Consider the following 25,896-nt stretch of genomic DNA (forward strand, 5'->3'; position numbering starts at 1 on the left):
CAACCCATAAGGAAGCAGGATTAGCATTTCGTATGGTTAAATGTCTTCACAATGTCAATACCAATAAATATCTGTTGAAATCTAGGACTGGATAGAATCTAGTATTGTAAATTCTAAGCATGAGCCTTGGGCCAGTATCTTAACCTCTCTAAGCTTCAGCTTCCTTGTCTTGCTACATGGGCATAATGCTGACCTCATATATTGCTATATTAAATATGACAAAAGTTCTAACCATATCTGCCACATAGAAATTTCTCAATGGTTGTCTTCCCTACTTCCACAGCCAGCCAGATACATGACATTTATGACAATTACCACTTTTTGTGCTTGATATTAAAAGTTTAGTGATCTCTGCTTTATGTGTTTGTATTTTATTTATTTATGAATACAATTTTTGAAGGTAGAAGTTTATATTTCTTTGTGCTTACCATGTCATATTAACAGAGTGTTGAGTAGTGTTGGGTGCATGGTAAATGTTGAACACAGCTGCTTACTGATTGGTTGACATAAGCCAAAACTTCTTAAAACTAACACTTTTGATATAAAACCGTGCCCAGGTGTGTGCTCATTAACATGGGTAATTAAGAGTTGCCCATTAAAATCACATCTCTAATAGTAACTACATTGGGGTAGAGAGGATAAAAGTTATGACTACAGAGGAAGAAATAACTAATTAAGTAGTTGTTAAACCGGAAAATGTTTTAAGCTGCATTATTGCATATCCTCTAAGCAAGTTAGAAATATTGCCATTTCCAGTAATGGGCTTTCCTCTGCTTGTGTGGGTAATTATGTCACACAGAATTGGAGATGCTGCCAGGGATGTTGGGATGAAATTGTCACTGGGGATTTATCTAAGAGGAATCATCTAGAGGAAATTTAAAATTTTTTAATTCACTGAAACAATCATATCAGTTACACATATTTTTCTCTTGGTTTTATACCATAGGGTTTTAAAGACGATAACTTCTAATTCATATAATAAAGCATGCAATTTATGATTTTCCAAATGTATTGAGAATATTTATTTATTTTGTAATGGTATTTATTTCTTAACAAGCTCTCTGCCTCATAATCGAAGTCCTATTATAAATAACCCATAAGTTGCTTTCACATAGAATATAACTTAAACATCATTTTATTTACTCAGCAATAAGTCTTTAATATTTTCTCTTCACAGGCTAGAAATATAGTGTATATATGTCTTAACAAAGACAAGAAAGGTAAATTCATAATACAATACAGACACTAATAATACAAAAATTCATAGACCACCTTTTTTGGTAAATTGTCCTTATGTCTGCCAATAATATTATTAAAGGTTAATGTAAACTCTAGGGTGAGATGTTAGGCTTACCTATGACAGATTGGAAAGAGGATTCTGGAACATTTCAAAGGTAAAAGAAAATAGGACTTGACAGATTAAAGAGCTCTGAGCTGTGCTCACCTTTCTCAAACTGCCCTTTATCAGATGGATTAATGCGTTCTTACCATTGAAAAAGACAGGCTGCTACCCAAGACAGTAACCAAAGAGATTGCTGACTGTGACCTGGCATTAGTAGAAGAAGAACGGGAAATGTTTATTTCCCTGTCACTATACTGAAAGAAATAGACAGCTTGAGGCCTGTGGCTTATCTTAAAATAGCTTCTTTAACACAAAGAAACAAGTTGGAAAGTAACAATACAGGAAATGTAAAGGCTACATACCTAAAACTTGAGGCATCTGTCCAAAGAGCATATTTACTTGGTAAATTCAAGTTACTCTGCAATTTAGACTTATTTTTAATATGAATGGAGTAGGTCAGACTCCTTTCTGGTTTAGTCAAACTTGAAAAAGTCTTTCTGTTTGATTATCTTCTTAATTTATCGATTAGAATATTTTAAAACTTCTTATATGAACATTATTAAGTTATACATTTCATAAAATTAAATGCATGTATTTTAAGTGTACGGCTTCCTGAGTTTTCAAAACACATATATCCCTATATAAACAACATCCTGGTAAGTATATAGCGCAAGTCTGTCATCCCCTCAAATTATCTTATGCCTTTTGAACTCAATCTTACTCCTTTATCCCTGGCCGCAGGTAAATACTGATCAGCTTGGTTTCACTAAATTATTAAATTTGCCTCCTCTAGATTTCACATAAATAAAAGTATCCAATGTGTTCTCTTTTGTGTCTGACTTGTTTTTCTCAGTATGTTTTCTAACATTATCCATGTTGTGTAATTAGTAGTTTGTTTCATTTGGATTGCTGAGCATTAATCCCATTATATGAGGGTTGCACAACTTGTTTACAGATTCACTCTGGTACACACTGGTTGTTTCCAGCTTCTTACTATTATGAATAAAACTGCTGTAAGTGTACACATCTTTTTGTGGACATATCTTTTTATTTTTAGGGTAATTCACTAGGAGAGGATTTGCTGGGTCAAATGTATATATGTATTTCAGCTATGTGTAGAAGTAACCACACTCCTATCTTCTATACATACTCTGAAATCTGGGTGTTTTTCAAACCCCAATTCTTGACTTTTGTGCATTTGCAGGCTCAAAAACACATGGAAGCTGCCAAGGCTTGGGGCTTCCACCCTCTGAAGCCATGGCCTGAGCTCTACATTGGCCCCTTTCAGCAAGGGCAAGAGCAGCTGGGATGCAGGGCACCAAGTCACTAGGGTGCACATAGCACAGGGACTCTCTGAGCCTGGCCCATGAAACCATTTTCCCTCCAAGACCTCCAGGCCTATGATGGGAGGGGCTGCCTTGAAGACCTCTGACATGCCCTGGAGACATTTTCCCCATTGTGTTGGGGAATAACATTCAGCTCCTTGGTTGCTTATGCAAATTTCAGCAGCTGGCTTGAATTTCTCCTTAGAAAATGGGATTTCTTTTCTATCACATTGTCAGGCTGCAAATTTTCCAAATTTTTATGCTCTGCTTCCCTTATAAAACTGAATGCCTTAACAGCATCCAAGTCACGTCTTGAATGTTTTGCTGCTTAGAAATTCCTTCCACCAGATACCCTAAATCATCTCCCTCAAATTTAAAGTTCCACAAATCTCTAGTGCAGGGGCAAAATGCCACCAGTCTCTTTACTAAAACATAACAAGAGTCACCTTTGCTCCACTTTCCAACAAGTTTCTAATTTCCATCAGAGACTACCATAGCCTGGACTTTATTGTCCATATCACTATCAGCATTTGGGCACAGCCATTTGACAAGTCTTTAGGAGGTTCCAAACTTTCCCACATATTCCTGTCTTCTTCTGAGCCCTCTAAACTGTTCCAACTGCTGCCTGTTACCCAGTTCCAAAGTCACTTCCACATTTTCAGTTATGTTTACAGCAGCACTCCTCACTCTACTGGTACCAATTTACTGTATTAGTCCATTTTCATGCTTCTAATAAAGCATACCAAGACTGGGTAATTTATACAAGAAAGAGGTTCAATGGACTCACAGTTCCACATGGTTGGGGAGGCCTCACAATCAGGGCAGAAGGCAAGGAGGAGCAAGTCACATCTTACATGGATGGTAGCAAGCAAAAAAAAGAGCTTGTGCAGGGAAACTCCCCCTTATAAAACCATCAAATCTTGTGAAATTTAATCACGATCATGAGAACAGCACAGGAAAGACCTGCCCCCATAATTCAATTACCCCCCCACTGGGTTCCTCACACAACATGTGGGAATTGTGGGAACTAAAATCATAGGTGATATGGTTTGACCATATCCCCACCCAAATCTCACCTTGAGTTATAATAATCCCCAACATCAAGGACAGAGCCAGGTGGAGATAATGGAATCTTGAGGGCAGTTTTCCCCATACTGTTCTCAGGGTAGTGAATAAGTCTCATGAAATCTAATGGTTTTATGAATGAGAGTTCTCCTGAACAAGCTCTCTTTCCTGTACGAGGTAAGATGTGACTTTGCTCCTCATTCACCTTCTGCCATGATTGTGAGGTCTCCCCAGCCATGGGGAACTGTGAGTCAATTAAGCCTCTTTCCCCTGTAAATTACCCAGTCTCAGGTATGTCTCTATCAGCAGCATGAAACTGGACTAATACAGTGAAATGGTATCAGTAGAGTGGGGCACTACTGTAAAGATAACCAAAAATGTGAAAGCAACTTTGAAACTAGGTAACAGGCAGGGGTGGAACAGTTTGGAGGGCTCAGAAGAAGAAAGGAAGGTGTGGGGAAGTTTGGAACTTCCTAGAGACTTCTTGAATGGTTTTGACCAAAATGCTGATAGTGATACAGACAATAAAGTCCAGGCTGAGGTGGTCTCAGATGGAGATAAGAAACTCGTTGGGAACTGGAGCAAAGGTGACTCTTGCTATGTTTCAGCAGACACTGGCAGTATGTTGCCCTTGCCTAAGAAATTTGTGGAACTTTAAACTTGAGAGAGATGATTTAGGACATCTGGCAGAAGACATTTTTAAGTAGCAAAGCATTCAAGAAGTGCCTTGGGTGCTGTTAAAAGCATTCATTTTTATGCATTCACAAAAATATAGTTTGGAATTGGAACTTATGTTTAAAAGGGAAGCAGAGAATAAAAGTTTGGAAAATGTGCAACCTGATGATGTGATAAAAAAGGAAAAACCTATTTTCTAAGGAGAAATTCAAGTCAGCTGCAGAAATTTGCATAAGTAACAAAGAGCCAAATATTAATCATCAAGACAGTGAGAAAAATGTCTCCAGGGCATGTCAGAGGTCTTCATGGTCAGCCCTTCTATCACATGCCTGGAGGCCTAGGAGGGAAAATGCTTTCATAGGTCAGAACCAGTGCCTTGCTGCTTTGTGCAGTCTTGGACTTCGTGACCTGCATCCCAGCTGTGGTTAAAGGGGCCAACATAGCGCTCAGGCTATTGCTTCAGAGGTTGCAAGCCCCAAGGCTATGTGGCTTCCACATGGTGTTGGGTCTGTGGGTGCACAGAATTCAAGAGTTGAAGCTTGGGAACCTCCACCTAGATTTCAGAGAATGTATGGAAATGCCTGAATGTCCAGGCAGAAGTCTGCTGCAGAGGTGGAGCCCCCATGGAGAACATCTGCTGGGGCAGTGCAAAAGAGAAATGTGGGGTTGAAGCCCTCATACAGAGTCCCCACTGGGGCACTGCCTCGTGGAGCTGTGAGAAGAGGGCCACTGTCCTCCAGACCCCAGAATGGTAGCTACACTGAGAGCTTGCACCGTCCACCTGGAAAAGCTGCAGACACTCAGTGCCAGCCCATGAAAGCAGCCAGGAGGGAGGCTGTACTCTGCAAAGCCACAGGGTCAGAGCTTTCCAAGGCCATAGAAGCCCACCAGTTGCATCACCATGACCTGGATATGAGACATGCAGTCAAAGGTGATCATTTTGGAACTTTAAGATCTGAGTGCCCTGTTGGATTTCAGACATGCACAGGGCTTGTATCCCCCTTCATTTTGGCCAATTTCTCCCATTTGGAACAGGTGTATTTACCCAGTGCCTGTACCTTCATTGTATCTTGGAAATAACTAACTGCCTTTTGATTTTACAGGCTCATAGGCAGAAGGGACTTGCCTTGTCTCAGATAAGACTTTGGATGGTGGACTTTGAGTTAATGCTAAAATGAGTTAAGACTTTGGGGGACTGTTGGGAAGACATATCTAGTTTTGAAATGTGAGGACATGAGATTTGGGAGGGGCCAGCGTGGAGTGATATGGTTTGGCTGTCCCCCATCCAAATCTCACCTTGAATAGTAATAATCCCCACATCTCAAGGGTGGGAACAGGTGGAGATAACTGAATCACAGGGGCAGTTTCCCTTATACTGTTCTCATGATAGTGAAGATGTCTCATGAGATATGATGATTTTATAAATGAGAGTTCCCCTGAAGAAGCTCTCCTGACTGCTGCATGTAAGACATGCCTTTCCTCCTCATTTACCTTCCACCATGATTGTGAGGCCTCCCCAGCCATGTGGAACTGTGAATCAATTAAACTTCTTTTCTTTTTAAATTACCCAGTCTCAGGTATGTCTTTATTATCAGCATGAGAACAGACTAATACAATAGGTAAAAACTTACTAGTGCCATTTTGTTCATTGTTTTCTGGTTGGTTTGTATCATGTTTACACACAACAACTGAGGAGCTTGGAGAGCCTAAGTAACTTGCTCACTAACCACAAAGCCAATAAATTGTAGTGTGAGGATTTGAAACCAGGCAGGGAGCTCTGTAACTGGTATGCTGGCCTGTTCTACTTTTCTCGCTTGTTACCTTTTGGTGTTCAGATTGTTGTGGGTGAGCAAGCAGCAGAACTGCACTAGATTCCATGTTTGTCTCTTTTCCTAAATTTTGACCTATTTCATTTGTGTTGTTGTCATGAAACTGCAGCTTCTTATCTTCACCTGCCACAAACCTGCTCATAGCCACAGACTTCAAATGCATTGTACTCTTTGACCTTATTTTTCTATTGCTTCTCAGACTTCATGGTCTCTTGCTTTCTCATCTATTTTGGAGTTGTTTTGGAAAGCAAAATTTTCCAAAATTATTTTAAGGCAACTTTATTATGTCATTTATTCACAGGAAACAAAAATAACATTTAGGATTTCTGACACACTTTTAGATAAATTTTTTTACAAATTTTGACAGAAAAGAACTTACTGTTTAAATATATTCCTACCTCAATTCTAAAGAAATATTCACTACTTCAAAATGAAATTTAAGACCTTTAAGATTTTTAAATGTTAGAATCATTTTTTATATACTAAGAAACATCTAGATAAGCAGAAAGCTAATATGAAAGTGTTTAGTGGCTCTCTAGTAACCCCTAAAATATAGTTGACCCTTGAGAAACATGAGGTTAGAGGGACTGACCCCCACCATAACCCCTCAAAAACTTACCTATTAATAGCTTACTGTTGACCAGACATCTTACTGATGTATAGAGTTGATTAACACAAATATTGTATGTTATATGCATTAAGTACTCTGTTCTTACAATGAAGTAAGCTGGGAAAAATAAAATGTTACTAAGAAAATCACAAGAAACAGAAAATATACTTACTATTCATTATGTGGGAAAAGGTCATTACAAAGGTCTTCATCCTCATTATATTCACGTTGAGTAGGCTGAGAGGAGGAAGGGCAAAGTCTGGTCTTGCTGTCTCAGGAGTGGCAGAGGTGGAAAAGATGGAGGAGGTGGAAGAGGAAGCAGGAGAAAGAGACAGTCAGTAGAAATTTATGGAAATACATCATAACTTCCATCTTACTTTTTGCTTTTAAATTTCCCTAAAAATATTTCTACATGATATCAGTCCTACTTCCCTGCTGGGTTGGTTTCAGTGCCTGTGTCATAGAAGGGTCCTTGAAATAAAATTAAAAAAACTCAAAAGCAGTCTTGAATAATTAGAACACTTTTGCCAGATTATCTAATGCCAATTTGTTTCTGGCAGATTCTTCTATGTCTTCTTTCTCATTGTCTGGCACTGGTTTGGAAGCACTCATCTCCATCAAATCATCTTCTGTTAAATCCTCTGGTGTGGTGTCTATTAGCTCTTGAATTTCTCCAAGATCCATAATTTGAAACGTTTACCCCCTACCTTTTTGCTATATCCACAATCTCTTTTATGATATCCTTGATTGGCTCTGTCATAAATCCTGTGAAGTCATGCACAACATCTGGACACAGTTTTCTCCAGCAGGAATTTATTGTTTCAGGCATGATGGCTTTCACGGCTTTTTCTATAAAAAGAATGCCATCTTCAATGGTGTAATCCTTCCAGACTTTCATGATGCTCTCACTATTGAGGTTCTCTTGCATAGAACTGACAATTCTTTCCATTCAGTGCTGTGTGTAATGAGCCTTTAAAGTCCTTGTGACCCCTTCATGCAGAGGCTGAATTAAACATTGTGTTTAGGGGCAAGTAGACCACTTCCACATCTTTGGTGTTAAACTCATGGGATTCTGGATGGACAGGGGCATTGTCTAATATTCAAAGAACTTTAAAAGGCATTCCTTACCAGTAAGGTACTTCCTGACCCTAAGAACAAAGCATCGATGAAACCAATCCAGAAAAACTGTTCTCTCATTATCCAAGCCTTCTTGTTGTACGACCAAAAGTTTGGCAGCTGGTGTTCGTCTTTCCCTTCAAGGCTCCAGGGTTAGCAGCTTTATAGACAAGGGCAGTCCTGATTATAAACCTGACTGCATTTCCAGAAAATAGTAAAGTTAGCCTATCCCTCTCTACCTTAAATCCTGGTGCTCTCTTCCCTTCTTTATTAATAAATGCCTTTTGTGGTATTTTTTTCCAGCATGAGACACATTCATCTGCATTAAGTACCCTGCCAGCAGATATTCTCTCTTCTCAATGATTTTTTAAATGGCATCTGGGAACTTGTCTGCTGCCTCTTATTTGACAGAAGCTGCTTCTCCTGTTATCTTGAGTTTTTTTTTAAACCAAACCTCTTCCTAAAATTATCAAACTATCTTTTACTGGCATTAAATTTTCTAGCTTTAGATCATTCACCTTCTTTTTGCTTTAAAGTGTCAGATAATGATCTTGTTTTTCCTTGACCTATATTAGCATCTATTCTCATGCCTTTCTTAGACCAATTCTGCATCCACATAAAAGTTGCATTTTCAATACAAGATTAAAAGATATTTTACAAAAAGTACAAGGGTTGTTTACCTGCTGGCATAGCTGCAGCAATGGCTACATGCATTTCCTTTTCTTTTTTAACAATGGACCTAATGATGGATTTATTTATCTCAAAATGGTGGGTAATCATAGCTGCAGATCTCAACCTGTGGTACATATCAAGCAATTCAACTGTTTCTTGTAATGTTATGACTTTTCTCTGCTTCTTGGGAGCACTTCCAGCATCACTAGTCATATAGGTCCCATGGTGTTAGTCAAGGTTTACAGTGTTACACTTAACATTATAAAAAATATGTAAGAATTGAGAGTCATCACTTTTATTGCAATATGCAATTTACTGGAAAGACAAATTGCTCATGTGGATATGATTTTTTATGTGTTAACTCCTGTCTCTAAAATACACACACACACACACATCCCACTCATTATGACCACATTGAACTCTGCAGTTTATTCCTGAATGTGTCATCTTTTTCAGGCAGGCATATGTTTGAAAACACTTAGTCCTCAGCCTTTTCTTATTTTCTCAGAGATCCTGTCCATGTTGTAAGACCCAGTTCAAATGTCACCATCTACATATTTTGATGTCAGTTTCTGCTTGCTATTGATTCCCATGAATAGCCATTCTCACTCTATATTGAATTAAACAAAAGAGAGGTTTCTGACCAGAAATATATAATTTTGGGGGGAGTTCATTTGAGTTAACTATTTGTCATGAAATCTTTTGTTGCTTTCAAGGCACAACAATGAAATTGGCTTCTACTTATGCCTATGTTCCATGCTACAGATGGGAAGAAGCACAGTTCATTAAGGTAGGATGTCTGATCTAATATCAGATGAGTAAAAAAATCTGCATTAGAGTGAAAAACGAGCCTGTACTATGACTCGAACATTTGATGAATTTATAGGATTACTGACTGTGCAATTCGTACTGGCACCATCACTGGCTGTTCAGAGATTTATATTTCCTGAAAGGAATTAATAGGTTTAGGAGGGCATTGCTGATGAAATTGCAGATACCCAATTCCAAGCCTACATAATGGGCATGGAATTAGTGTATATTAAATCACCTCTCACGGTGATTTAATATAAAAGGAGGTGATTGAGTATAAGAGGAATAATGGTAATATTAGGATGTTTGAGGATTCTAAAGTACATCAGTGAAGGCAAGATTATGTTATAGTTGTTTTCATTTGGAAAATGAAAAGGAGTAAAAATAAAATATAAACCTTGGAGTCTAAACCTTGATGAAATTTAAGTCTCCCCTGTTCTGGAAAAGAAGAGGAGAAATTTAACATGTATAAGGAGAAATTTAACATGTGTAACAAAATACATTTTCAAATTGATTCCAACTGATGTGCTTGTCTCACCATTGCATAACTCTGTAACATGTAATAATGTTTTTCTAGACAGTCTCTCACTCTGTCACCCAGGCTGGAGTACAATGGCACAATGATAGCTCACTGTGACCTTGAACTCCTGGGCTCAAGTGATCCTCCTGTCTCAGACTTGAGTAGCTAGGACTAAAGGCATGAGCCACCATATTCAGCTAATTTTTTTTAAAAAAAATTTCAGAGGCAGCATCTTACAATGTTCCCCAGGCTATTCTAGAACTTTTGGCCTCAAACGAATCTCCCACCTTGGCCTCCCAAAGCATTGGGATTACAGGCATAAACCACTGCACCTGGCCCCTGTAATATAAAATTGATGCACCCAAAGATCTTAGGATATATGGAACTGTAAGAAGTAATAATAACCAGGTCCTCATAGCATCATAGACTACCTTTTGTTGATTTCTCTCCATTTCCTGAGAGTCTACAGGAACTAATGCCACCATAAGTCACATTTTTATTTTCCCTGTGGCAGCACAAGAAATTCAAGCTTTGCAGTGTATGGTTTGATTTGAGATGTCTTAATCTAATCATCATCCATCATCCTCTAATCTGACACATCCTATATGCCTTCCCTCTTCAGACCCTTTTTCTTTGCTCCTTGAAACACTCATATGTGATCAACACGGTCTCATTTATCCTTGTTATCTTTACCTTGACTAAAACCAGGTTATGCTACTTCCCTGGAGGACCTCTCAAAAGGAAGCTGTTTGTTCTATTTCTTTCTCATCTGTCCCAGGACTAGGTATTGCATTAGGAGATCCCTTGCTTCCCACTGCTGCTTTTAAATCATTTCATTTCCTTCTTCCCTTCATTCTTCCCAAATGCAAGGTCTTTCAACTTTCATTTCGTGCTACACTCTGCCCTTTATTGCTGCTCTCTGGAATTTGTGGTCACTGTCCCTCATACACTGAAAACTCACATACCTCTACCTCTAGCCCTGTTGTATTCCTGATGACTTGAGCACCCAAGGGAGTGATACATACAGCACTGGTCAATCATTTCTTTACCTGCCACACATACAGCAATCTTTAATTTCAATAGCCTTAGCCACTCATTCCCAAATAATGCTTGGATCATGCACATTATCATGAGTAAATACACCCATGTCTGAAATCCTGATTTCAAGTACTTCCCAATTTTTCTGTCTTTTCTTTACTTTCAGCTCACAGAAACAATTCTTCCACCATATTAAAAACTCTAATCCAATTCACTTGTTCCACCACTTTTTTTATTCATTATTCTCTCCTGTCTTTACTTTCTTCCTCCTATTTCTTGATGCACTATTTCAATCACTCACTTCTAAACACACTAGGTTACTTTACCTAATACACTCAAACCCTCTTGGGATCCAGTTTTCCACCTTCTTTATGCCTATGAATTTTATGGAATAAAATGATATAAATGGGTCGACTGGTTTTATTTTAAATTACCAATTGTACATTTAAAAACATACTTTCTGAGAATTATAGTTTCCAGCTTCATCCATGTCCCTACAAAGGACATGAACTCATCATTTTTTATGGCTGCATAGTATTCCATGGTGTATATGTGCCACATTTTCTTAATCCAATCTATCATTGTTGGACATTTGGGTTGGTTCCAAGTCTTTGCTATTGTGAATAGTGCCCCAATGAACATACGTGTGCATGTGTCTTTATAGCAGCATGATTTATAATCCTTTCTCAGCAAACTATCGCAAGGACAAAAAACCAAACACCGCATGTTCTCACTCATAGGTGGGAATTGAACAATGAGAACACATGGACACAGGAAGGGGAACATCACATACCGGGGACTGTTGTGGGGTGGGGGGAGGGGGGAGGGATAGCATTAGGAGATATACCTAATGCTAAATGACGAGTTAATGGGTGCAGCACACCAACATGGCACATGTATACACATGTAACAAACCTGCACGTTGTGCACATGTACCCTAAAACTTAAAGTATAATGATAATAAAAATAAAATAAAATAAAATGAAAGTTAAATTAAGAAAATAAGTTAGCCAGTACAGACACGAAGAAGAGAATTCCACATAAAATAAACAATATATATTCAATCCCTGAGTAAAAGAAAGAACTATGTATTGAGAATTGGAGGGCCAGTATGGGCAGAGAGAAAAAGGGAACTGATCTGAGATAGGTCAAAGGGAGAGGGCAAAGGAAAAAAAAAAAAAAAGCATACTTTCTAATGTTGTGTGGTTTTGCTCTCTTTTCATAGTAAATTGCATCTACCTTTCCAAGGAAACAATTTTAAACCTTCTTTCTTTTTCAAACCCTTCACAACTCCCCTCACCACACAAACACACACATACATGCATATCCCACCTAATAATCTTCATACTGTCATATTTCATTGAAAAACTAGAAATTGTTATTTATTTTAAATTAACTCAACACATTTTATTGTAAGGAAACTGTCTTATTTTCACACTACCAAATTGTCCTGCTTGCAGGTATATGGATCTGGTGCTGCTCCTAGTCAATAAAAAAACTATCCCTGCTACAGTCAACCAGGACAGTACTCTCCACTGGTGCTCCAGATCTCATTCTCCCTTGTCCTCGCAAGGATTTTGCCTGTATAATCATCTTATATCTTCTTTATCAATATTGCTTTCCTTTTTATTGTATTATCCTCACTAGCCTCTAAAGTGTGTTTACTATGCCATATTTTTAAAAAGATAAATCTCCATTTCTCACTAGATAGGGCTCATTACTCTGCTTAGTGTCATAGTGATGGCAGCAGAGGCCCATCTGGAGCAGCTGCTGTGGAGATGTCACCTGCAGTGGGGGAGGTGTGGCTGGGGCTGGTTGCTCTGCGGAGCCCATGGGGGCTGGGAATAGGAGAGAGCCCTGCTCCCTGTTGAGGTGGCAGTGTGAGAGCCCCATGCTCCCAGGTGCAACTGCAGCTGCGCAGCCACCGCTCGGGATCCAGGCATCCCTGTGCTCTAGGGAGCACATGAAGCCTCCTGCCCCTGCATGCTTGGAAGTGCCTGCTCCCCTTCCCTGGGCCTCTCCTGTTCCCGGCACCTGCTCCAGCACAAAGCAAAGTTGTAGCTGAGCCCAGGTGTTGTTGTGACCTGGCCAGGTGTGCCCGCACTCAGGGCAGTGCTGACACACCAGCCCCCTGCTGCCTCAGTCCCCTCTGAAGCTTTGGGTACCAACAAGCCCAGGGAGGGAGCTTGGGTGGGGCCTGAGGGCGGCTTGGCGTGGACCTGCAGGCGCCTCTCAGCATGGACAGCCTGGGTGTGTGGACAGCATGTTGATGGCAGTGGGAGGCAAACAGGTTCCTAGGCAGGAAGGGGCAGGTACCCAGTGAAACCCCACCTTCAAGCCAAGCCAGGGATGGCCTGAAGCCTGGGAGCTGGGCTGCCAGTTCTGGGTGGAGTCGTGACCTAGAATGAGAATTTGTGGTTCCTTTTCCAGGCCTGCCCATGGCCACCCATGGACCAATCAGCACCCACTTCCTCCCTTCTGAGCCCATAAAAACGCCAGACTCAGCTAGACTCACTCTTCAGGATGACCTGCCTGTGGAGAGGAGTTGCCCCCTTTGGGTGTCCAGGGAGCTGTTCTGTTGTTCAATAAAGCTTCTCTCTGCCTTACTCACTCTCCAGTTGTCTGCATAACTTTATTCTTCCCAGAAGCGGGACAAGAACTCAGGACCCGTTGAAGAGCGAAAAGAGCTGGAACATGTTACTGAGTGGCTCACCAACCTGTGGGTGATGACATGTTTTCTGACTTAGGGAGTAAAGAATAGCAGTCCTTCTGGGAGCCCAGACCTTGAGGTTCATTGAGTCAGCGCTGTGACTCACTGTAATACCCTCTTTGGGGCTCTAAGGTTCCTGCTGTTTCCCAGCTCTCAAGCACCAACACCTCCAGAGGCTGGTGCCTGCAGCAGAGGCTGCATGAAATATGTCTGGTCCAGCCACAGCCTCACATGGAGCCGACACCTGTGCCAGAGCCTGGAGCTGCCCTCCCCACCACAGCAGCCAGTGTGCCTCGCTGTGGACAGTGGCCAGACCCCGTACTGGATCACCCACACAACCCTCACCGCTCTGGGCCTGGCTTGCCCTTGGCAGGCATAGGATCCAGGCTGGTAGCATGAGCCAGCCGCAGCCTGCCAAACTGAGTGGGTGGAATGACCTCAGCATGCATAAGCAAAAACCCCAGCAGATGCACTGCCGGCCACAGAAGTTTCTGGCTTGCAAAGTGACACCCTAAGGATCATGTGACAATAGCAAAGTCTCTTAAATAAGTAATCAAGAATTGTCATATCCACATCCTCACCTCCCATTCAGATTCTGATCCATTCAAATCTCACTTTCATCCCCACCACACTACTGAAACTTTTATTCTCAAGGTCACCAAAATCATCCCGCTACCAATTCCATTGGACTATATCTCTGTCTTCTTCTCCCTTGATTTCTCAATGATGTTACACACAGCAGCTCTTCCCTATTTCTTAAAACACTCTCCTTTCTTGTCACTCTTGACACCACTGACTCCTGTTTTCTTTTTAAAAAAATGTCTCAAGCTTCTCCCTTCCATTTCTTACACAATTTGTCTTACTCCTCCAATACCTTCTTCAACTCTTTATGCTGGAATTCCTAAACTGCCTTTCCTGAAATCTATTCTTTTTTACATCTATACTCTGTCCCTAGGTGTTTTCACTCTTTTGACTGTAAATACAATCAAATGCTGATAATTTTTATGTTTTATGTTGATATTGCTAGGCCAGATCATTCACTGAGCTCCATATTTATATACACAACTGTCTATATGATGGATGCCTCAAAGTTATGTCCAAAATGTACAAACCTACAATATCTGTTTCTCATACAATCTTCCTCATTTCAGTTAATGCCATCACCATTGATCCAAGCAAGCAAGCCAAATCCATCAGACTATCTTCTTCCAGTTCATTGTAGGTTATTTAATTTTTATCTTTAGTGTCTTATTTCAAATGTTATCTTTTCAGAGTCTTCTCTGACTATCCCATCTAAAATAAACTCCTTATCTCCTTTCATATCTTTTTGTGTATGTGCTTCACATTTTTGCAGTCTATATTATTTTCTATTTTCAGCACTAGAATCATTGCCAGTTGTGAGCAGATTTCTTTCTTTTCACTATACGTGTATCAGATAGTGTAAGACCTGACATATAGTAGGCACTTAAATCTTTGTAAATTAAATAGAAAAAAATAAAATTTCAAAACATATCTCATAATAATTTCACATAATTATACATTATAATTAACCAGATTAATGGGTTAAATTTATTATATGCAGGTCTAGCAAGGACATTACGATAGAGAACAAGGTGTATTACTAGTCCCATCCCCACCCAATGAACACATCATGCTTGTAATAGAATTGTTGAAATACCATTAAAAATATCCAAACTCTATTTCTAATATGAATTATGGCTTTCTTTCATTTGTCTCTTCCATTACTTCTTATTCCTTTTCTAAATCTTTAGTTATGTAGACATAGTTTTGCTGTATAATTTAAATTCTGGTTTCAGTTACTTGAATTAATGCTCCAGTTTTACTTCTTGGATTTGGCTTAGGCATTTCTATAGAACACAATACACCTGGGCATGGTTTGCCATAGAAGTTCACTTTTGGCTTTATAATCATGCACTTGCTATCATTTCTACATCCCATAAACATAGATAACAGAGTCACACAATCTCTCTAGATCTGGGAAATTCCCAGCAAGACCTCTCTTCAGCCAGCCTTCACTAGGAAGTTCTTTTTAAGAATTAAATTTAATTGTTACAGACACAAGCACAATCATATTAATTAAAAATAATGGTGAATATAAATTACTTTAACTGAAATGATTTGTTTAAGTAAAGGTGAACAATGAAATTTCAATTCAGAATTGGCCTTTGTTAAGGTGTAATAATTTTACAAAGACTAGCTATTAATCTTTTGTGGAAAGCTGAAACTTTTTTTATCCTAACTTTAAATGCAGTAATGATTTTTAGACTCAAGGATTTGTAAAACCTTAAATTCACACTAGAAAAAAAATTTAGAAATTCATTAATGGTAATATCCACATATATTTAACACTTTCTAGTTGTACATGAAACATATCCAAGTGCTTTTCAGGATAATCTAAAGTCTAGGACTATTTGTAAAAGCTGGTTTTGGCTTTTAAAATTATATTTTAAGCAGGTTCTAAGGGAGAATTGTAGAGTGTAGGAAAAAGTGACTAAGAAAGACGATATATCCTCCCCTCTGAGCTACGGTGAGTGTGGCATTTGTCGTATTGATACAATAAAAATAATAAAGCAATAATCTTTCAAAGATGTTTCACTATTCCATGGAAAGAAGTTGAATCTATTGAAAGAGCTAGAACTGGCTAGTCCAACAGAACTCTAAAGTTTTATTTTTGGTAGCACCAAGGAGGTCTGGGAAATTCTCTGTTAGGTACAGAGAAGGTGATTGACAGAAAACACATGACCTCTTCAGTAGACATTACCAGTGTTTGAAAATCCTTCGTGAAATGAGTGCTGGTGGCATCCAACCCATCAATGGCAGGGCATGTGAATGTGTGAAGGTGGGCAGGGGAAAACTGGTAATGGTACCATTATGAGAAATCAACAATTGCCTGAGAAATTGCTAACAGAGGAGGAGGGCAGTGTAGTTAGCAACAGATTTTTGACTGATATTAAAAGTAAACTTGGGAACTTAAATGAAATCTTAGGTCTGTTCCTTTGTTGACATTAGATAGTATTGCTAATTATTATCAGAATTTTTTTGTATCTTAGAGAAGCAATGAACTATTGTTTGGATGAGTTGTTAGCTTTTGAGATGGGGGCTCAAATAACTATATCCTTCTATATCAGGGGTTCTCCTGATATAAGATTCACCTAGATGTGTGGATGACTTCCAAGTTAGCACAAGTAAGGAAACAAAGTAAGTTGAATTATGAAGTTTAACTTTTTGAAACATGGCAATTCATTGTCATTCAGAAAAATGAAAAAATTTTTGAAAGTCTGTTTGAAATCAAAGTCTATCTTAGAGTTGTTAAAACTAAAATGAATGGGAGGAGCCAAGATGGCCGAATAGGAACAGCTCCGGTCTACAGCTCCCAGCGTGAGCTACGCAGAAGATGGGTGATTTCTGCATTTCCATCTGAGGTACGGGGTTCATCTCACTAGGGAGTGCCAGACAGTGGGCGCAGGTCAGTGGGTGCGCGCACCACGCTCGAGCCGAAGCAGGGCGAGGCATTGCCTCACTTGGGAAGTGCAAGGGGTCAGGGAGTTCCCTTTCCTAGTCAAAGAAAGGGGTGACAGACGGCACCTGGAAAATTGGGTCACTCCCACCCGAATACTGTGCTTTTCCGATGGGCTTAAAAAACAGCGCATCAGGAGATTATATCCTGCACATGGCTCAGAGGGTCCTATGCCCATGGAGTCTCACTGATTGCTAGCACAGTAGTCTGAGATCAAACTGCAAGGGGGCAGCGAGGCTGGGGGAGGGGCGCCCGACATTGCCCAGGCTTGCTTAGGTAAATAAAGCAGCGGGAAGCTCGAACTGGGTGGAGCCCACCACAGCTCAAGGAGGCCTGCCTGCCTCTGTAGGCTCCACCTCTGGGGGCAGGGCACAGACAAACAAAAAGACAGCAGTAACCTCTGCAGACTTAAATGTCCCTGTCTGACTGCTTCGAAGAGAGCAGTGGTTCTCTCAGCACGCAGCTGGAGATCTGAGAACGGGCAGACTGCCTCCTCAAGTGGGTCCCTGACCCCTGACCCCGGAGCAGCCTAACTGGGAGGCACCCCCCGGCAGGGGCAGACTGACACCTCACACGGCCAGGTACTCCAACAGACCTGCAGCTGAAGGTCCTGTCTGTTAGAAGGAAAACTAACAAACAGAAAGGACATCCACACCAAAAACCCATCTGTACATCACCATCATCAAAGACCAAAAGTAGATAAAACCACAAAGATGGGGAAAAAACAGAGCAGAAAAACTGGAAACTCTAAAAAGCAGAGCGACTCTCCTCCTCCAAAGGAACGCAGTTCCTCACCAGCAACGGAACAAAGCTGGATGGAGAATGACTTTGACGAGCTGAGAGAAGAAGGCTTCAGACGATCAAACTACTCTGAGGTATGGGAGGACATTCAAACCAAAGGCAAAGAAGTTGAAAACTTTGAAAAAAATTTAGAAGAATGTATAACTAGAATAACCAATACAGAGAAGTGCTTAAAGGAGCTGATGGAGCTGAAAACCAAGGCTCGAGAACTATGTGAAGAATGCAGAAGCCTCAGGAGCCGATGCGATCAACTGGAAGAAAGGGTATCAGCGATGGAAGATGAAATGAATGAAATGAAGCAAGAAGGGAAGTTTAGAGAAAAAAAGAATGAAAAGAAACGAGCAAAGACTCCAAGAAATATGGGAATATGTGAAAAGACCAAATCTATGTCTGACTGGTGTACCTGAAAGTGACGGGGAGAATGGAACCAAGTTGGAAAATACTCTGCAGGATATTATCCAGGAGAACTTCTCCAATCTAGCAAGGCAGGCCAACATTCAGATTCAGGAAATACAGAGAATGCCACAAAGATACTCCTCAAGAAGAGCAACTCCAAGACACATAATTGTCAGATTCACCAAAGTTGAAATGAAGGGTAAAATGTTCAGGGCAGCCAGACAGAAAGGTCGCGTTACCCTCAAAGGGAATCCCATCAGACTAACAGCAGATCTCTTGGCAGAAATTCTACAAGCCAGAAGAGAGTGGGGGCCAATATTCAACATTCTTAAAGAAAATAATTTTCAACCCAGAATTTCATATCCAGCCAAACTAAACTTCATAAGTGAAGGAGAAATAAAATACTTTACAGACAAGCAAATGCTGAGAGATTTTGTCACCAGCAGGCCTGCCCTAAAAGAGGTCCTGAAGGAAGCACTAAACATGGAAAGGAACAACCGGTACCAGCCACTGCAAAATCATGCCAAAATGTAAAGACCGTCGAGACTAGGAAGAAACTGCATCAACTAACGAGCAAAATAACCAGCTAACATCATAATGACAGGATCAAATTCACACATAACAATATTAACTTTAAATGTAAATGGACTAAATGCTCCAATTAAAAGACACAGACTGTCAAATTGGATAAAGAGTCAAGACCCATCAGTGTGCTGTATTCAGGAAACCCATCTCATGTGCACAGACATACATAGGCTCAAAATAAAAGGATGGAGGAAGATCTACCAAGCAAATGGAAAACAAAAAAAGGCAAGGGTTACAATCCTAGTCTCTGATAAAACAGACTTTAAACCAACAAAGATCAAAAGAGACAAAGAAGGCCATTACATAATGGTAAAGGGATCAATTCAACAAGAAGAGCTAACTATCCTAAATATATATGCACCCAATACAGGAGCATCCAGACTCATAATGCAAGTCCTGAGTGACCTACAAAGAGACTTAGACTCCCACACATTAATAATGGGAGACTTTAACACCCCACTGTCAACATTAGACAGATCAACGAGACAGAAAGTCAACAAGGTACCCAGGAATTGAACTCAGCTCTGCACCAAGCAGACCTAGTAGACATCTACAGAACTCTCCACCCCAAATCAACAGAATATACATTTTTTTCAGCACCACACCACACCTCTTCCAAAATTGACCACATACTTGGAAGTAAAGCTCTCCTCAGCAAATGTAAAAGAACAGAAATTATAACAAACTATCTCTCAGACCACAGTGCAATCAAACTAGAACTCAGGATTAAGAATCTCACTCAAAACCACTCAACTACATGGAAACTGAACAACCAGCTCCTGAATGAATACTGGGTACATAACGAAATGAAAGCAGAAATAAAGATGTTCTTTGAAACCAACAAGAACAAAGACACAACATACCAGAATCTCTGGGACACATTCAAAGCACTGTGTAGATGGAAATTTATAGCACTAAATGCCCACAAGAGAAAGCAGGAAAGATCCAAAATTGACAACCTAACATCACAATTAAAGGAACTAGAAAAGCAAGAGCAAACACATTCAAAAGCTAGCAGAAGGCAAGAAATAACTAAAATCAGAGCAGAACTGAAGGAAATACAGACACAAAAAACCCTTCAATAAATTAATGAATCCAGGAGCTGGTTTTTTGAAAGGATCAACAAAATTGATAGACCGCTAGCAAGACTAATAAACAAAAAAAGACAGAAGAATCAAATAGACGCAAAAAAAATGATAAAGGGGATACCACCACCGATCCCACAGAAATACAAACTACCATCAGAGAATACTACAAACACCTCTATGCAAATAAACTAGAAAATCTAGAAGACATGGATAAATTTCTGGAAACATACACTCCCCCAAGACTAGAACCAGGAAGAAGTTGAATCTCTGAATAGACCAATAACAGGGTCTGAAATTGTGGCAGTAATCAATAGCTTACCAACCAAAAAGAGTCCAGGACCAGATGGATTCACAGCCGAATTCTACCAGAGGTACAAGGAGGAACTGGTACCATTTCTTCTGAAACTATTCCAATCAACAGAAAAAGAGGAAATCCTCCCTAACTCATTTTATGAGGCCAGCATCATCCTGATACCAAAGCCGGGCAGAGACACAAACAAAAAAGAGAATTTTAGACCAATATCCTTGATGAACATTGATGCAAAAATTCTCAATAAAATACTGGCAAAACAAATCCAGCAGCAGATCAAAAAGCTTATCCACCATGATCAAGTGGGCTTCATCCCAGGGATGCAAGGCTGGTTCAATATACGCAAATCAAGAAATGTAATCCAGCATATAAACAGAACCAAACACAAAAACCACACGATTATCTCAATAGATGTAGAAAAGGCCTTTGACAAATTCAACAACCCTTCATGCTAAAAACTCTCAATAAATTAGGTATTGATGGGACGTATCTCAAAATAATAAGAGCTATCTATGACAAACCCACAGCCAATATCATACTGAATGGGCAAAAACTGGAAGTATTCCCTTTGAAAACTGCCACAAGACAGGGATGCCCTCTCTCACCACTCCTATTCAACATAGTGTTGGAAGTTCTGGCCAGAGCAATTAGGCAGGAGAAGGAAATCAAGGGTATTCAATTAGGAAAAGAGGAAGTCAAATTGTCCCTGTTTGCAGACGACATGATTGTATATCTACAAAACCCCATTGTCTCAGCCCAAAATCTCCTTAAGCTGATAAGCAACTTCAGCAAAGTCTCAGCATACGACATCAATGTACAAAAATCACAAGCATTCTTATACACCAACAACAGACAAACAGAGAGCCAAATCATGAGTGAACTCCCATTCATAATTGCTTCAAAGAGAATAAAATACCTAGGAATCCAACTTACAAGGGATGTGAAGGACCTCTTCAAGGAGAACTAGAAACCACTGCTCAAGGAAATAAAAGAGGATACAAACAAATGGAAGAACATTCCATGCTCATGGGTAGGAAGAATCAATATCATGAAAATGGCCATACTGCCCAAGGTAATTTACAGAATCAATGCCATCCATCAAGCTACCAATGACTTTCTTCACAGAATTGGAAAAAACTACTTTAAAGTTCATATGGAACCAAAAAACAGCCCACATTGCCAAGTCAATCCTGAGCCAAAAGAACAAAGCTGGAGGCATCACACTACCTGACTTCAAACTACACTACAAGGCTACAGTAATCAAAACAGCATGGTACTGGTACCAAAACAGAGATATAGATCAATGGAACAGAACAGAGCCCTCAGAAATAACGCCGCATATCAACAACTATCTGATCTTTGACGAAGCTGACAAAAAAAAGCAATGGGGAAAGGATTCCCTATTTAATAAATGGTGCTGGGAAAACTGGCTAGCCATATGTAGAAAGCTGAAACTGGATCCCTTCCTTACACCTTATACAAAAATCAATTCAAGATGGATTAAAGACTTAAACGTTAGACCTAAAACCATAAAAACCCTAGAAGAAAACCTAGGCATTATCATTCAGGACATAGACATGGGCAAGGACTTCATGTCTAAAACACCAAAAGCAATGGCAACAAAAGCCAAAATTGACAAATGGGATCTCATTAAACTAAAGAGCTTCTGCACAGCAAAAGAAACTACCATCAGAGTGAACAGGCAACCTACAAAATGGGAGAAAATTTTCGCAACCTACTCGTCTGACAAAGGGCTAATATCCAGAATCTACAATGAACCCAAACAAATTTACAAGAAAAAAACAAACAACCCCATCAAAAAGTGGGTGAAGGACATGAACAGACTCTGCTCAAAAGAAGACATTTATGCAGCCAAAAACCACGTGAAAAAATGCTCACCATCACTGGCCATCAGAGAAATGCAAATCAAAACCACAATTAGATACCATCTCACACCAGTTAGAATGGCAATCATTCAAAAGTCAGGAAACAACAGGTGCTGGAGAGGATGTGGAGAAATAGGAACACTTTTACACTGTTGGTGGGACTGTAAACTAGTTCAACCATTGTGGAAGTCGGTGTGGCGATTCCTCAGGGATCTAGAACTAGAAATACCATTTGACCCAGCCATCCCATTACTGGGTATATACCCAAAGGACTATAAATCATGCTGCTATAAAGACACATGCACACGTATGTTTATTGCGGCATTATTCACAATAGTAAAGACTTGGAACCAACCCAAATGTCCAACAATGATAGACTGGATTAAGAAAATGTGGCACATATACATGATGGAATACTATACAGCCATAAAAAATGATGAGTTCATGTCCTTTGTAGGGACATGGATGAAATTGGAAATCATCATTCTCAGTAAACTATCGCAAGAACAAAAAACCAGACACCGCATATTCTCACTCATAGATGGGAATTGAACAATGAGAACACATGGACACAGGAAGGGGAACATCACACTCTGGGGACTGTTGTGGGGTGGGGGGAGGGGAGAGGGGTAGCACTGGGAGACATACCTAATGCTAGATGATGAGTTAGTGGGTGCAGCGCACCAGCATGGCACATGTATACATATGTAACTAACCTGCACATTGTGCACATGTACCCTCAAACTTAAAGTATAATAATAATAAATAAATAAATTTAAAAAAAAACAAAACTAAAATGAACTACACAAAGGTCTGTTTATGTTGAATTTAGAGTACTTTAAGTTTCCAGGGAAACAGAACATATAGAAATGAAAAGCAGATGTTACTAAATTGACACTCTGGAAAACTCCCAAGAGGTTTAATCCTCTGCTAGGTAAGATTGCTTGCCCCAAAACTTTATGTGCCAATTTTTTTTGCAGTGTGAGTTTTGACAACTACACTGTTCCCAGAACAAACTTATATATTATTATGATATCCTAATGCTTTTGTTATTACCGTCTCTTACAGTGCCCACTATTGCTTTGCTGCCAAGTAAGAGCAGCATATATATCTATTCTTTCTTCCAGAAAAAAAAAATGAATCCAAATTTAATACTGGAAAATTCACATGAAAATATGTAGCCCAATTTGCCATTAAATTCACATTGTTTAGGTTTAATTGAAACATAGCATCTTATATTTTTACCCCATAGTCACTTCCCTTTACTTTAAAATATTTTCAGCAGAAACGGGAGTAGAAAACAGAGTCAGGTCAATAAGTCATTCGGATTCTGAATTCTGTAGTAAATTTTGAATTATACAGATATTAACTAATCAATTCTAACAGTTTTTCTGAGACTACTGAGCATAATATTCTACAGTGCATGAGTTGCTCCATGGTGAGACAGTCTTAGAGGTTTGTTTGTTCTTTCCCACCACGGAGACACTGTTTCACATATAACAAACACCTTAAAACCATCAACGTCTGTGTTCAAAGACATTGCTATAGGAAGCCTAATTGGTGTGCGGATGCAAAGTTAAGACCATCATTTTTTTCTGCTCTTTGCCCATGTGAAATCTGTTCGTTCTGCCCTATGTACTTTCAGTGCCTATTTGCAGCATGGCCTCCTGTTCTGCACAAAATTTTCCTGAGGTCTGAGGCCAACGCAGCAGCTCTGTTTTTTACAGCCTAGCAGATGGGCAGCAAGCCAGATGTAGTTGGTTTTTGGCAGCCATATTTTCCACATTGCTTGGTGGTATACCTTATACACATGGAGGTTGATAGTTGGCATATATGTTCAGTTACTGTAGAGTAGCATTTTTCAATCTTGCACTATTGACGTTTTGGACTTGGTAATTATTTATTCTGGGCGGATGTCCTCTGCATTGCAGGATATTTAGCAACATTCTGGATCTCTGTGCACTAAATGCTAGTACCACCACTCATCCAAATTGTGACAACCAATGTCTTCAGGTATTTCTAAGTGTCCCCTGGGAGCAAAAGCATCCCCACTTGAGAAGTACTGCTGGAGACAAAGGGAAAATGAAGAGGCTTTGTGGCAGACAAGTGTTGTTTAGGAGAATATAGCTGGTGGCACTGGGTAAGATATGAGGGAGAGGGGAGATAAACCAAAGAAGAGGTTTGGAAGGAAAAGAGCCCACATTACAGTGACCAATTAGGAAACAAAATGAGTTGTCTTTGACTTTGCTTCAGTAAATGTTTATTAAGTTGTTACTATGAGCTAAGCACAGTGTTTATTGCTGTAGATATTTAGACCAGTGATGCATATATATTGCTTGCAATCTGGTAGGGGAATTAGAAAAAAAAACTTAATTACAATCATGTATGAGCTGCAGAAGTGAAACTTAACCCAGTTGATTCAAAAGGGAAGAGAGGCTGGGTGTGGTGGCTCACGCCTATAATCCTAGCACTATGGGAGGCAGAGACAGGCAGATCCCTTGAGCTCAGAAGTTTGAAACCAGCCTGGGCAACATAGAAAATCCCCTTATCTATAAAAAATACAAAAACTTAGCTGGGCATGCTGTCATGCACCTGTAGTTCCAGCACTTGGGGGGCTGAGGCAGGGGGATCACTTGAGCCAGGGAGGTTGAGGCACAGTGAGCCAAAATCGCACCACTTTGTTCCAGCCTGGGTGACAAAGTGAGACCCTGTCTAAAAAATAAAATAAAAAAATAAAAACCCAAAAATCAAACAAACAAAAAACGGTGGGGGGAAGAGAGAGAGGTGACAAGAAAGGCTACCCAGAAGATTGCCCTACATGTTGAAGGTCAAAGAAGAGTTCATCACATTTAGAAAGGTGTGGGAAGAATATTGTACTTAAAGAGAGACAGACAGTCTGATATCAGGTAAACAGGCAGAGAGAGGGACAATACAAGAAAATGATGCATTTAGTGGACTATAAGTAACACGACCATGCTGAGCAAAGATGTTTAATAACAAAGAGAGAAGCTAGAGAAGAGGTCAGAGACGAATTATGATGAGCCTTGGGAAGTAAATTAAGTTTTACCTATAGAACATATGTAGAATTTTGAGCTAAAGAATGATACAATAAAATTGATGTTTTAGAAAATAACTCAGGAAGTCATGAAGAGAAAATACTGGAGTTGAGAATAGACAAGAGGCAGAAAACTTGGAGGTTAGTATAGATATCCACATAAAGTAAAAATAAAGAAAATGTGAGAAACAGGATAAAAGTAGAGAAACACCAAGGAGTAATTGCAACAATCCAGCACCATCTCTCCCAGAATAATACCTCAGTTAAGGTGTAAGTGGAGAGAAAGAAGAGGAGATATCTTGTGTAGATGAGTATAGACAGAATCCAGAGAAAATGGCTGTGGTAAGTGATAAAGAAGGAAAACTACTTGGATAATTCAGGTTTCCTACTTAAATGATTAACTGTATGGTAGACTCATATATCAAGTGAAAAGGAAAAAAGAAAAATCAGTTTGTTAGGAATCATGATAAAATCAGTTTTGGATATGTTAAACAAGTCATCTAGAGGGTATTCAAGGGGAAAAGT

General features: G+C 39.7%; 3 annotated features.

Moving 5' to 3' along the window:
- Nucleotides 12,509–13,009: an enhancer, noted in NCBI's record as "H3K4me1 hESC enhancer chr5:44664054-44664554 (GRCh37/hg19 assembly coordinates)". NCBI's record gives its function as "activates a minimal SCP1, AML or CMV promoter by ChIP-STARR-seq in naive H9 embryonic stem cells {active_cell/tissue: H9 hESC(naive)}" and the evidence as "EXISTENCE:reporter gene assay evidence [ECO:0000049][PMID:30033119]".
- Nucleotides 13,010–13,510: an enhancer, noted in NCBI's record as "H3K4me1 hESC enhancer chr5:44664555-44665055 (GRCh37/hg19 assembly coordinates)". NCBI's record gives its function as "activates a minimal SCP1, AML or CMV promoter by ChIP-STARR-seq in naive H9 embryonic stem cells {active_cell/tissue: H9 hESC(naive)}" and the evidence as "EXISTENCE:reporter gene assay evidence [ECO:0000049][PMID:30033119]".
- Nucleotides 17,602–18,270: an enhancer, noted in NCBI's record as "H3K4me1 hESC enhancer chr5:44669147-44669815 (GRCh37/hg19 assembly coordinates)". NCBI's record gives its function as "activates a minimal SCP1, AML or CMV promoter by ChIP-STARR-seq in primed H9 embryonic stem cells {active_cell/tissue: H9 hESC(primed)}" and the evidence as "EXISTENCE:reporter gene assay evidence [ECO:0000049][PMID:30033119]".

Source organism: Homo sapiens, chromosome 5, assembly GCF_000001405.40.
Source record: "Homo sapiens chromosome 5, GRCh38.p14 Primary Assembly".
In the NCBI taxonomy this organism is placed as follows: Eukaryota; Metazoa; Chordata; class Mammalia; order Primates; family Hominidae; genus Homo; species Homo sapiens.